Raw genomic sequence first — 15,510 nt, 5'->3', positions numbered from 1 at the left:
AAAGCAAAAATTGACAAACTAATGAGCTTCTGCACAGCAAAAGAAACTATCAACAGAGTAAACAGACAACCTACAGAATGAGTGACATGGTTTGGATCTGTGACCCTGCCCAAATCTCATGTTGAATTTTAATCCCCAATGTTGGAGGTGGTGCCTGGTGGGAGGTGATTGGATCATGGGGGCGGTTTCTCATGGTTTACCACGACCTCCCTTGGAGCTGTCATCATAATAGTGAGTTCTCACACAATCTGGTTGTATAAAAGTGTGTAGTACCTTATTCCCACTTCCTGTTGCTCTGGACATATAGGCTCTGACAATATAGGCAGAAGGCTTCACCCTTCGCCTTCTGCCATGATTATAGGTTCCCTGAGGCCTCCTCAGCTATGCTTCCTGTACAGCCTGTGGAAATGTGAGCCAACTAAGCCTGTTTTCTTTATAAACTACCCAGTCTCAGGTATTTCTTTATAGAAATGTGAGAATGGACTAATACAATGGGAGAAAATATTTGCAAACTATGCATTTGACAAAGGTCTAATATCCAACATCTATAAGGAACTTAAATTTCCAAGAAAAAACAAAACACCATTAAAAAGTGGGCAAAGGACATGAACAGAAACCTTTCAAAAGAACACATACATGTGGCCAACAAGCATATGAAGAAAAAGCTCAACATCACTGATCTTTAGAGAAATGCAAATCAAAACCACAATTAGATACTATCTCACACCAGTCAGAATGGCTATTACTAAAAAGTCAAAAAATAACAAGCACTGTCGAGGTTGTGGAGAAAAAGAAACACTTATACACTGCTGGTGAGAATGTACATTAGTTCAACTACTGCAGAAAACATGGCACTTCCTCAAAGACATAAAAACAGAACTACCATTTGATGTAGCAATCCCAGTACTGGCTATATACCCAAAGGAATACAGATTGTTTTATTATAAAGACACACACACACATATGTTCATTGCAGCACTATTCACAATAGCAAAGATGTGGAGTCAACCTAAATGACCATAAATGATAGACTGGATAAAGAAAATGTGGTACATATACACTATGGAATACTATGTGGCCATAAAAGAGAGGGAGATTATGTCCTTTGCAGGAACGTGGATGGAGCTGGAGGCCATTATCCTTAGCAAACTAATGCAAGAGCAGAAAACCAAATACTGTATGTTCTCAGTTACAAGTGGAAGCTAAATGATGAGAACACATGGACACATAGAGGGGAACAACAGGCACTGAGGCCTTTCTGAGGGTGGAGGGTGGAGGGTGGGGCTTGTACAACAAGCCTCCATGACACTGATTTCCCTATATAATGAACTTGCACATGTAACCTTAACTTAAAAGTTAAAGAATAAAATATTTGTTGAGTTTCATGTTACACATCTGTAGTTATTATAGTCATAACACTTTAGAGCTGCACAGACTCAAATGATCAGCACTGCCAGACGTTCTGACAGCAAAATTATCTGAATAGATAAGAGACTTAGGTGGGCTTTTGCTCAGTAAATGAGGTTGTTTATATTCTTTGAAACAGTACGGCAATTCATAATACTCCAACACACGACTGCCTGTGGGCAGACCCTCCTGTTCAAGGTACTGTGTGGGGTATCACAGAATGCTGTTCAGGAAGATATCACTGGGGCCTTCTACTCTCAAAGGGGTTGATAAACACTTGAGAGCATGAGGATGAATACCCAAGGGATTAGGTATGCTTTGGGCTCTGAAGCTGGCCACATCAGTAAAATATCACATACTTGGCAAATTAGATCTGAGTAATCAAACAGAATAATTCAGCATCTCTCCCCCATAGACTTTTAGTGGCTGACATTAGTTTTCATTTGATGATAATTACTGATCACAGTAATCCTCACAACTAACAGTTTTTCACTTCTGTAACTTTCTTATATAGATCTGGCACATTTCTTAGTAGTTTACAGATTTACTTTTCGTTTGTTTCTTGGTTGTGTTTGCTTATCTGGGCGAAATATATTTTTCCTATATGTTCTCAATTTGGTTATTTATGACTTATAGGAAATCGATTAACTTGTAAGTTTGTCTTGTATCTAGTGACATTATTGCTTTCATATTAGTTCCAGTAAACTTTAAATTGACAAGTTGGATTTGTAGACAGAAAGTCATTTATTTGTTTATAATAACACTTTGGCATAGTCCTTTTCCGTATTTAAGGCTTTAAAGAAATCTTTTCTTATATGTTGCTGAAGACTTCTGGTACAATGTCAATTTTAGGCATCTTTGCCTTGCTCCTGAGTTTAATGAGACCACTTTTTAACTTAAGCAAGATAAATCAGTTTCTTTCCATCTTGACTTATTGGTAGTTATATTTTTCTTTCAAGCTGGAAAGCCTGTGAAATTTTGTAAAATATATCTTAGCATTACTTGAGATGATCATGTTTTTTTTTCCTCCATCTTTAATATAAATACATAGAGAATTCTGTTAATAGTTTTCCTAAAGTTGAACCTCCTTGAATTCCTGGGATAAAGCCTGGTTGATCATGATTTATTGTTGTGGAGTTTTCTATTTGCTTAGCTTTGTAATAATTCTCCATTAAAAAACACTTATTGGCTAAGTGAACCAAAATATCTAATGAACCATGAAGTTGTTTGAAATTATAGCAAGGAATATAAATAGACTAGTTGGCTATGCTGTTCCCTTTTTAAAAATAATTTCATTCCATGCTGACATGAGCAATAGGATTTGATCGTAACAGAGAGATGACTTCTTGGCTGTGTAGGCCATATGTTTCCTGATAAAATATCTAGTGTCTAATATCGAATAGCCCTTGTGGCTTATTTTGTGTGTTTAAACAATCTGGTCCAGTTCTGCTAAGTGACAACAAGCATCACCTACTGTCAAAACTCTTTTCTGAGCCTGCAGAAATTACTACAACTGTGGGATGTACTTGATTTCAATGTGCTGTATTAATGTTTGCCCAGTAATTTCTAGTTACAGAGGCTATAGCTTGTTCTTCCACCAACCATCCTGGAGAGCAGTTAGTAAGGTGTAGCAGTTGAGAGTGTGAACTATCTGGTTTCACTTCACAGCTCTGCCATTAACTGGCTGTGAAAACCTTAAATTCCTCAGTTTTATTATTTTAAAAATGGGACTATTTAAGGTAACTTTGAGCTATTGTGAATATTTAGTGACTAAATATAAAGCACTTAAAATGTATTTGGTGCATAGTGTTACATATGTGCTAGCTATGATTTATTTTTTGTTTCAATGTAATTTTTTCCTTTTTTTAAATTTAAAACTTTTATAGCTCTATTGAGGTATAATTCACAAATAAATATTGCATATGTGTATATATTGTATACAATGTGATGTTTTGACACATGTATACACTCTGAAATGATTATTACAATCAAACTAATTATCATGTCTATTACCTCACAGTTATATTTAATATTAATATTTAAGATTATTCTCTTAGCAATTTTCAAGTATACAATACATTATTAACTACAAGCTATGACTTTGAATAATCAAGTTAGAATGATCAATTTGCCAGGAGTTTTTGTTACAGATGTCAGAGTCCTATGATCACACATGAAAGATTTGCTTTTTTTCCTTATATGTGACCCATGGAAACATATCCCTTGTAGAATTTGACTAGTCCTTTACTCATTCAAGGAATTTCTGAAAATAGGCAGATTTGTTTGACTAATGTTTTTCCAATAAAAAAGGGCTGGCTGTTTTTCTCACAATATTTTACATTTTGAAAAATTCAAAGAAATGAAATTGAAGCTGATTATCAGAATCTGTCGGGGAAATCATTAAACATTGGCCAGCCCTAGTAAATAGCAATGGAAGGGTAATTTACACCTCTCATTGCTCTATAGGAGGTTCTTCTGTTGCCCCTGTGTTGACCGGTTCACAGTTAGCAAAAGTATCTTGTAGGGGGACTCCAAAGACAGAGAGATTGTGTGCAGCTTCTGCTCTCAGACTCCCTGGGTCAAATCTGAGCTTTGCCACTGGTCATCAGCAAGTTGACCTTGGGTGTGTTTCTAGTGCTCCAGTTTCCTCATTTGTAAAAATGTGATAATAATAATAATTACCTCTCAGGGCTGTGGGGAGAATTACAAGAGAAAACCCCTGTGTATGACCAACATAGGACCCTGCACATACGAAGTGCTCAATAAGTAATGTGTCATTTAGTACAAAGCATTTGTTATTTGGAAGTTTTTTTTTGTTGTTCTAAGGTGTAAGTCATCATATCTCCGGCTAGGCAGTATGCCATACATGAAAGTTTGGGAGAGTGGGGTTCATTTATTTTAAAAACAGTTCAGTGTTTTTAGTATAGTCACAGATATGTGCACCCATCACCACAATCAATTTTAGAACATTTTGATGACCCCCCAAAGGAACCTCATACCCAATAACTCTCATTTCCCCCTTCCCCCGTCCATCTAGCTGGCTGTAAGCAACCACTCATCTACTTTCTGTCTCTATAGATTTGCCTATTCCGGACATTTCACACAAATTAAATTGTACTATGTTTAGTCTTTTGTGACTGGCTTCTTTCATGTAGCTTAATTTTTCAAGGTTTATCCATGTTGTAACAAGTACCGGTACTTCATTTCTTTGCATGGCAGAATAATCTTCCAGGGTATGGATAGACCACACTTTGTTTATCCATTTATTCATTGATGGACATTTGAGTTGTTTCTACCTTTCGGCTATAGGGAATAATGCTGCAGTGAACATTCATGTACACATTTTTGTATGGATGTATGTTTTTATTTTTCTTAAGTATGTATCTAAAAGTGGAATTGTTAGGTTATATTCCATTTGAGGAACTGTCAGACTGTTTTCCAAAGCTGCTGCACCATTTTACATCCCCACCAGCAGTGTATGTTTGAAGGTTCCAATTTCTCCACACTTTCACCAATACTTCTTATTATGTTTTTGTTTATAGCCATCCTAGTAGGTATGAAGTGATATTTCATTGTGATTTTAATTTGCATGTCCCTGACAACTAGTGATGTAGACCATCTTTTTGTGTGTTTACTGGCCATTTGTACATCTTCTTTGGGAAAATATCTATTCAAATCTGTTGCCCATTTTTAATTGGGTTGTATTTTCAATTATTAAGTTGTAACACTGGTAATTTTTATTGAGCTATTAATCGCTGTTCACACTTGACCTTGCACACAAATCCCTGGGGACTTTGTTAAAAAGCAGTCTCTGCTTCACTTAGGTCCCTTGGGGAACCTAAGAGTGTACATTTTCCAGTAGTTGCAGATGGCGTAGTCCATGGACCCTACTTGAAGTAAGAAAGACACTTTTTAAAATGCTTCATGATTGGCTTTTTATGTATTACTCAGAAAAGCCATTTGAAGAGAGAAACACAAAACCTACATTTTATTTATTCTTTCCTATATTCACTTCCACAAATGGAAGTATTAGAGAAATGTAAAATATAATATATTCTCACTGTTTTAAAGAGAGCTAACATTATATTAGTGTCTGAAAATAAAGATATAGTTAGAATAATTTAACTTTTTTTCTCGAATACTTGTATTATAATTTAAAGCATTTAGAAGCAGTATTTGCCAAGTGACTAGATTTACTTTCAGTTTTTAAAATAGTTTTGGCTACAGATGTAGCTGTAAGTTTGGACTTTCTAGTACTTATTTATTATCTTTTTCCTTTAAAAAACAGTTTGAGACACAGTCTCCTTCTAATGAAAGATTATTCATCATCCTCTTTGGTCATGCTTCGTTGGGAGGCACTTGCATTGATGTAGGACAGGAAGAAAGGGGAGGGACCCTGGCTGAACCAGCCAGATTTGCAGAATTAGTGGCCAACACGTGTCTCATAGATTTATGTGCCTACAGTCTTGGCAGCATCCCAATATAAAGGTATATTATTTCCAGGGACTTAATTCCCCTCACAGTGTGAAAGAGCAATGAAAAGCACAAGTTTGGAAAAGAAACTGCAAATGAAAAAATCAATGTAATGAAATCAATTGTGAACACTAGAGTTTGTTCAAATTAGTTTTTTGTTTGTTTGTTTGTTTAGTTTTGGTAGCTATCATCCTCATAGATACCTCACCTACCCTATAGGACGTATGATTTCACTTTCAAGGGGATTTTCTGGCCTTTAATGAGTCATGGCAGCAGTTAACACTAGTTGCAGTGGCTGGTGGTATAATTTGGAGGCGCATTCTGTTCTTTTGTGACATTAAAATGGAAAATATGAGCCCAGAAAATGATTTCTCTAGGGATGCACATACATGGTTACAGCTCATTATGGACCTGTCAACATCTTCTCCTCTGCCCTTCCTTGGGGGAGATTTTGTCTCCTGACGCAGTTTTGAATGAGAGTTTAACAAGTGCTGAGTCTCGTACCTTTTACAGTAAAATATTTGCCCAGATGAAGTCATCTCCTTCGGAATTTGAAATTTCCCTCTAAAAATATGGCTAAACCCACAAGCTATAAAGAATCATAATAATTCATTTAGAGATAACTTTTTGGCAGCTGGAACCACTAGAAATTTTCTGGAGTATAGATTTGGTAAGTTAGGCAGGCTAAAGGGCTCTGCCCCCAGATAAGTGACCCTTAGGGAATTTTCCATATCTGAAGGTAAGAAGGACTATGGGAAATTGGTTTATTGATAGAGTTAGTTAATCAAGATGTTATTTCTGGCAACTTTTAATAATTAACATTTATTGTACACACATTGATAAAGTTAGAAAATATCTACTCTGAAATAATGGGACTATAATTTTTAAAATTTAACTTAAATAATAAAGTTATCATTTGTAACATTATACTACACTAATACTATAGTATCACCATGCAGATAACACTATGAGGCTGATTTGTTATATTCTCTTTACTTCTTAGCTCAGAAGGCAAGTAGAGATGTTTCATAATCTGTCGTTAAAATTGTTTTCTTTTCCTCATTGGGCCCATGATCGTCCAAACGTTTCTCTAAAGAAAGTCCCCTTGAATAAAAGTGGCTTTTTAAAATTATTATTATTATACTTTTAGTTCTAGGGTACATGTACACAATGTACAGGTTTGTTACATATGTATGCATGTGCCATGTTGGTTTGCTGCACCCATTAATTCGTCATGTACGTTAGGTATTTCTCCTAATGCTATCCCTCCCCCATCCCCCCATCCCCCCACCCCACGACAGGCCCCGGTGTGTGATGTTCCCCACCCTGTGTCTAAGTATTCTCCTTGTTCAATTCTCATCTATGAGTGAAAACATGCGTTGTTTGGTTTACTGTCCTTGCGACAGTTTGCTCAGAATTAGGGTTTCCAGCTTCATCCATGTCCCTACAAAGGACATGAACTCGTCCTTTTTTATAGCTGCCTAGTATTCCATGGTGTATATGTGCCACATTTTCTTAATCCAGTCTATCATTGATGGACATTTGGGTTGGTTCCAAGTCTTTCCTATTGTGAATAGTGCTGCAATAAACATACGTGTGCAAATGTCTTTATAGTAGCATGATTCATAATCCTTTGGGTATATACCCAGTAATGGGATCACTGGGTTAAATAGTATTTCTAGTTTTAGATCCTTGAGGAATCACCACACTGTCTTCCACAATGGTTGAACTGGTTTACAGTCCCTTCAACAGTGTAAAAGCGTTCCTATTTCTCCACATCCTCTCCAGCACCTATTGTTTCCTGACTTTTTAATGATAGCCATTCTAACTGGTATGAGATGGTATCTCATTGTGGTTTTGATTTGCATTTATCTGATGACCAGTGATGATGAGCATTTTTCATGTGTCTATTGGCTGCATAAATGTCTTCTTTTGAAAAGTGTCTGTTCATATCCTTTGCCCAAAAAGTGGTTTTTTTTTAAATCATGAAAGCAAAAGAGATCCTCCCTGTGCAGAGTGGAAGTGATAACCCTTCATTGGTGAGATAATATCCCATTATTTAGATGGGGGAATCTTCACATTGTTAACACACTGAACTTAGAGTATAGAGGGTGGGGGATGCCCATTCCTGGCTGCAGGGGCCCTGGGACCTCATCTCTTCTGGGTGCAGCACTGCTGCCTTTACATCTTTTCCACTCTAGACCTCCATTTTAAGCCACTGCTTAAAGAGTATAAAAATATCTTCTGTTTCCTTTCTTCCCCTTTCCTTCCTTTTCTCCTTTTCTTCCTTCTTTTTTTTCCTTCAAAATTTAAGTAGTACACTCATGCATGCTGGTGAGTATGCTAGGTATGAGGATAGAAGTGGTCCCTCAAGACGATGACTATGATGTGGCCCCTGAGACAGTCATAGGCTGGGGACCAGAAAGGAGGCAATATAGGTATCGGCCGAAAGATGATGACTTTCATTTTGACTGTGTTGAGTTTTAAGAACTGGGAGCATGTGTCCAGCTACTTGTACAGTGCCTAACACATAGTAGCCTGAGACACTGAATGGAAGCCACCATCAGTGCTCTTCTTTGGTCATGTGACCTTGGGTAATTCCCCCTCCCCAACCAACACCACCATTCTGGGCCTCTAGTTGCTCTTCTGAAAAAAGATATCATTGGATTAGATGACCCTAGAAGTTTCTTCCTTTACAAGAAGCTGTTGGTACCCTCTATGTATTTCCTAGACACACACCTGATGGCAAGTACCTGGTAAAAACACCTGCAACTCTCTTTCTAGTAGTTTCTTTCTGGTCATGGGAACATACTCTGCCATGACAGGGCAAGTTTCAGAAGTGACAGAGAGTTAATGATCCTAGGAGCAGCCCTCAACTGGTGATGGATGAAGAGTAGGTGGGTAATTCTAGGTTAACTCTTTCAGGGTAACTCTGAAGCATATCCACTCTGTCTCGCAGAGTCTCCCTGCAGGGCTGAGTCCCAGTTTCCTTCGATGATAACTGTATTGTGAACTCATGTTTTATTGACTTCTTTCTCTTTCCTATCTCATTGCCTCTCACTCCCCTACCAACTGTTTCCTGGTGTTACCTCCTGTGGTCAGCAGAATAATACCCTGAGAGATGTTCACATGCTAATCCTGGGACTTGTGAATCTGTTCTCTTAGATGGCCAAAGAGACTTTGCAGATGCAGATTAAATTAAGGATCTTGAGATGGGGAGATTGGCCTGGGTTATTTGGGTGTGCCCATTGTAATCACAAGGGCTCTCATAGGTGAAGGAGGGAGGCAAGGGAGTCAGATTCAGAGAAGGAGGTGTGATGACAGCAACAGAGTTAGAGAGAAATTGGAAGATGATACACTGCTGGCTTTGAAGAAGGAGGAAGGTGCCACAAGCCCAGAATTGCAAGTGGCTTCTAGAAGCTGGACAATGACAAAAAAAGGGGGATGGGGGGCTCCTCCTCTAGAGTCTCCAGAAGGAATGCAACTCTGCCTCTTGGTTTGAGCCCAGTGAGATCCATTTTGGACTTCTGACCTCCAGAACTGAAAGAAAATATGTATCTGTTGATTTAAACCACTAAATTTGTAGTAATTTGTTACAGCAGTGACACAAAATTAATACCCCTCCTAAATAAACCATTTGTTCAGGAATTGTTGCTTCAGCATCTGCTTCTGGGAGAACCCAAATTAAGACACTTCCTAATCTGATATTGTATGCTTATTTTTACCTTAGTTAAAATATCAACATTTTTCAGTTGTTCAATAACAATTAGTTATTGTGCCCTTTTATATGCTTGATGTTTCTGTAAGGCAAGTCACAAAGATGCAATTAACTCAGCCCTTCCCTGCATAGAGCTTACATTCTAACAGTGGAAATAGAAAATGCCACAAAAATTGTAGCATGTGTCTTGTACTATTGAGCACTTTTTTCTTCACTAGTCAGATAACTGTAAGTATTTATAAGGCATCTAATGTGAACCTTGAGCAAAGCATCAAGTATATAAATATATGCCATACACAATGGTGTATAAAATAATATAGTCACTGCCAACAAAAAAACACATTCTCAAATCTAATTTTTAATAAAGTGACAGTATCACCCTAAAAGAGGCCAATCTTATTTTGTCAGTAGAAGAAAAGGAAGAAGAACAAGGAGTTCTCACTGTAAACAATGTAGGGATCCCATTTTAGGGAAACTGAAACACTGATTTCACCTTCTAGATTCCCATAAAAAGCATGGAAAGTTTATTTTGTTCCCAAGGAAATTCACTGTTGTTTAGCTTCTGAACCATCAGCACATTAAAAAAACGATAATTTACTGCAGCATTTTAGCTGTGAAATATACGGAAAGAAAGTTGAAGTCAGATTCACAAGATATGAGTTCAAATCCTGGATCTGTCACTTCATAAAATCATGAGCTCTCAGGCAATAATTTAACTGTTCTGAACTGCAGCTGTTAAATAACAAGTCATGGGTGGAGGTCAGCACATGCTAATGTCCCAAGCTCTTTCTCTGTTTTATATGGTTGGGCATGTAGTAGAGTAAGCTTTTTCAACGCTTTAGGCTGAAATTCTGGAATCCTTGTTGCTTTCATTTCTGCTTTCAAAGTTGCCAAATTCTCTCCCATCTCTCCCCCACCCTCTTTCCTTTTAATCCCTTGTCAGACACAGGCAAGAGTAGCCAACATATGCTAACATTTTAATTCTAAAGGTGCTGGCTTTGAAGGCATGTGGTCGCCCTTCCAGGTTATCACAGGTAAAAGATGTAGCAAGTTTTTTTGCTGCCACATGATATGAGTCACCTGTCTTTCTAACCTCTGGTATCTAGTTCCTCTTTGTCTGTTACCTAAGGACTAAGCCAGTTCTAAATTCATTATTAGGTCTTGGTTATGGCAGCACCTCACTTTAAGGTGCTCAAATATCTCAAGTAGAATAGTCCTGTTGCTGCATCAAGAAGCTAATTGCTGGAAAAAACAAACTGAACATTTTTGCGACTTAACACAAATTTAGTTTTCGTTTGCATTGGAATTAGGCATTTGGAGGGCAGGCTACCATGTGGGGATTCAAGGACTCAGGCTTCTTCTGTCTTGTGGCATCCTCATGTTCAATCTGTGTACTCCATGGAATGGCCTAGAAAATGGCAGATCCCATGAGCCTGACCTGGAAGTGACACACATCACTCCTGCCTTTGACCAGAACTCTTATCATTCCATTGACCATTATTTGATCACATGGCTCCATCCTACCTACAAGGGAGGTGAGGAAGTGTGAACTCTGGCTTAGCACAATCCCTTAGTCATCAGTGAGCCATCTCTGTCTTCTTGTGCTTACTTCAAAATGTTGCTATGCAGGTGAAAACTGCAAAATTGATCTGAGAGTTACTTTTAGAGTAAAACATATGGTACAGATGAGAGGGATTGATTTTTTCAAAGAAACCTCATTACCCTGAGACTTTGCTGAAGTTGCTTATCAGCTTAAGGAGATTTTGGGCTGAGACAATGGGGTTTTCTAGATGTACAATCATGTCATCTGCAAACAGGGACAATTTGACTTCCTCTTTTCCTAATTGAATACCCTTTATTTCCTTCTCCTGCCTAATTGCCCTGGCCAGAACTTCCAACACTATGTTGAATAGGAGTGGTGAGAGAGGGCATCCCTGTCTTGTGCCGGTTTTCAAAGGGCATGCTTCCAGTTTTTGCCCATTCAGTATGATATTGGCTGTGGGTTTGTCATAGATAGCTCTTATTATTTTGAGATACGTCCCATCAATACCTAATTTATTGAGAGTTTTTAGCATGAAGGGCTGTTGAATTTTGTCAAAGGCCTTTTCTGCATCTATTGAGATAATCATGTGGTTTTTGTCTTTGGTTCTGTTTATATGCTGGATTACATTTATTGATTTGCATATATTGAACCAGCCTTGCATCCCAGGGATGAAGCCCACTTGATCATGGTGGATAAGCTTTTTGATGTGCTGCTGGATTTGGTTTGCCAGTATTTTATTGAGGATTTTTGCATCAATGTTCATCAAGGATATTTGTCTAAAATTCTCTTTTTTGGTTGTGTCTCTGCCTGGCTTTGGTATCAGGATGCTGCTGGCCTCATAAAATGAGTTAGGGAGGATTCCCTCTTTTTGTATTGATTGGAATAGTTTCAGAAGGAATGGTACCAGTTCCTCCTTGTACCTCTGGTAGAATTCGGCTGTGAATCCATCTGGTCCTGGACTCTTTTTGGTTGGTAAGCTGTTGATTATTGCCACAATTTCAGATCCTGTTATTGGTCTATTCAGAGATTCAACTTCTTCCTGGTTTAGTCTTGGGAGGGTGTATGTGTCGAGGAAGAAACAGAGAGCCAAATCATGAGTGAACTCCCATTCACAATTGCTTCAAAGAGAATAAAATACCTAGGAATTCAACTTACAAGGGACGTGAAGGACCTCTTCAAGGAGAACCACAAACCACTGCTCTATGAAATAAAAGAGGATACGAAGAAATGGAAGAACATTCCATGCTCATGGGTAGGAAGAATCAATATCGTGAAAATGGCCATACTGCCCAAGGTAATTTATAGATTCAATGCCATCCCCATCAAGCTACCAATGCCTTTCTTCACAGAATTGGAAAAAACTACTTTAAAGTTCATATGGAACCAAAAAAGAGCCCACATCGCCAAGTCAATCCTAAGCCAAAAGAACAAAGCTGGAGGCATCACGCTACCTGACTTCAAACTATACTACAAGTCTACAGTAACCAAAACAGCATGGTACTGGTACCAAAACAGAGATATAGATCAATGGAACAGAACAGAGCCCTCAGAAATAACGCCGCATATCTACAACTATCTGATCTTTGACAAACCTGACAAAAACAAGCAACGGGGAAAGGATTCCCTATTTAATAAATGGTGCTGGGAAAACTGGCTAGCCATATGTAGAAGGCTGAAACTGGATCCCTTCCTTACACCTTATACAAAAATGAATTCAAGATGGATGAAAGACTTAAACGTTAGACCTAAAACCATAAAAACCCTAGAAGAAAACCTAGGTAGTACCATTCAGGACATAGGTATGGGCAAGGACTTCATGTCTAAAACACCAAAAGCAATGGCAACAAAAGCCAAAATTGACAAATGGGATCTAATTAAACTAAAGAGCTTCTGCACAGCAAAAGAAACTACCATCAGAGTGAACAGGCAACCTACAAAATGGTAGAACATTTTCGCAACCTACTCATCTGACAAAGGGCTAATATTCAGAATCTACAATGAACTCAAACAAATTTACAAGAAAAAAACAACCCCATCAAAAAGTGGGCAAAGGACATGAACAGACACTTCTCAAAAGAAGACATTTATGCAGCCAACAGACACATGAAAAAATGCGTATCATCACTGGCCATCAGAGAAATGCAAATCAAAACCACAATGAGATACCATCTCACACCAGTTACAATGGCAATCATTAAAAAGTCAGGAAACAACAGGTGCTGGAGAGGATATGGAGAAATAGGAACACTTTTACACTGTTGGTGGGACTGTAAACTAGTTCAACCATTGTGGAAGTCAGTGTGGCGATTCCTCAGGGATCTAGAACTAGAAATACCATTTGACCCAGCCTTCCCATTACTGGGTATATACCCAAATGACTATAAATCATGCTGTTATAAAGACACATGCACACGTATGTTTATTGCGGCACTGTTCACAATAGCAAAGTCTTGGAACCAACCCAAATGTCCAACAATGATAGACTGGATTAAGAAAATGTGGCACATATACACCATGGAATACTATGCAGCCATAAAAAATGATGAGTTCATGTCCTTTGTAGGGACATGGATGAAATTGGAAATCATCATTCTCATTAAACTATCGCAAGAACAAAAAACCAAACACCTTGTGTTCTCACTCATAGGTGGAAATTGAACAATGAGAACACATGGACACAGGAAGGGGAACATCACACTCTGATGACTGTTGTGGGGTGGGAGGAGGGGGGAGGGATAGCATTAGGAGATATACCTAATGCTAAATGACGAGTTAATGGGTACGGCACACCAGCGTGGCACATGTATACATATGTAACTAACCTGCACATTGTGCACATGTACCCTAAAACTTAAAGTATAATAATAATAAAATAAAAAATAAAAAAAAGAAACCTCATTACCCATTATGATTTGATTATCCTGATAGTACAAATAGTTTAGCATCTAATAGGTCAATCAGTTTAATGGACTTGAGCCCTATTCAACAGGTGTTAACATTGCTTTTTGGGAAAATGCCTGTTTCCTTGCTGGCTGTTGACAGCAGGTCTATCTCAGCTTTGAGAGGCTGTGAGCATTTCTTGTCTCATGGTCCCTCAGTCTTGAAAGCCAGCAATGGTATGTCAGATCCTTGTTATGCTTCCAATCCCTTTGACTTCTTCCTTTATAATTTTTTATTTTTGAGACAGGGTCTCTGTCTCCCAGGCTGGAGTACAGTGATGCAATCACGGCTCACTGCAGCCTCAACCTCAAAGGCTCAAGTGATCCGCTCACCTAAGCTTCCAGAGTAGCTGGGACCACAGGCATGCAGCACTATACTCAGCTAATTATTATTATTATTATTATTATTATTATTTAATATACAAGGTCTCCCTAAGTTGCCCAGGCTGATCTTGAACTCTGGGGTCAAACTGTCCTGTGTTGGCCTCCCAAAATGCTGAGGTTACAAGTTTACACCTGAAAAGCCACCATGCCCAGCCTTTGACTTCTTCCTTTTAAAGGACTAATGTGATTAGAGCAGGCCCACCCAGATTATCTCCCCATGTAAGGGTAAGTGATTTGGGACCTTAGTTACATTTTCAAAATCCCTTCGTAGCAGTACCTAGATTAGTATTTAATTTAGTAACCATGGGATGGGAATCTTGGGAGGCTATCCTTAGAATTCTACCTACTATAGTTAAGTGAATTGCCTGAATTCACATGAGTAGAGAGTAGTGAGTGAAGCAAGGATTTAAACCCCAGCCTATCTGGCATCAGAGTCTGTGCCTTTTCTACCTATCAGGTGACCCCTCTATGAAAATCAGTGGTGGACATTAACCCCAAAAGAATTTTCTAGAAGGAAAGCCCAACCCTAATTCTTAACCTAGAGGAATGTCTTAGTTCATTTGTGCTGCCATTACAAAATACCACAGACTGAGTAATTTATAGAGAACAGAATTTTATTTCTCACTGTTCTAGAGGCTGGGAAGTCCAAGATCAAGACCCTAGCAGTGTCATTTTCTGGTGAGGGCTGCTGTCTACATAAAAATGATGCTGTCTGCATCCTCCAGAGAGGAAGGATGCTGTGTCCTCACATGGCAGAAGGGACAGAAGGGCAAAAGGGGGCCTAAGCTGGTTACCTCTGGCCCTTTTACAAGGCACAAATACACTTATTAGGGCTGAGCCCTCATGATTTAACCATTTCTCCAAAAGGCCCCTACCTCCCAATACCACCACAATAGGGATTAACTTTCATCATAAATTTTGGAGGGGACAAAAATATTCAAACCTTAGCAAGCCATATAATTTAAATAATTATTACATTTAAAATTGTAGATTTAGTGTTTAAAAATTATGCACCAAAGTAATACTGAATCTTTCTGAAATGCCAC

General features: G+C 38.4%; 1 protein-coding gene across 3 annotated transcripts in view; it reads left to right on the top strand.

Moving 5' to 3' along the window:
* ARHGAP6 (Rho GTPase activating protein 6) overlaps positions 1–15,510 on the top strand; it is a 528,377-nt gene that overhangs the window by 79,716 nt on the left and 433,151 nt on the right. The gene's annotated exons all lie outside the window — the stretch shown is intronic.

This window comes from Homo sapiens, chromosome X (assembly GCF_000001405.40).
Source record: "Homo sapiens chromosome X, GRCh38.p14 Primary Assembly".
Taxonomy (NCBI): domain Eukaryota; kingdom Metazoa; phylum Chordata; class Mammalia; order Primates; family Hominidae; genus Homo; species Homo sapiens.
This window is presented reverse-complemented; position numbering and strand designations above follow the sequence as displayed.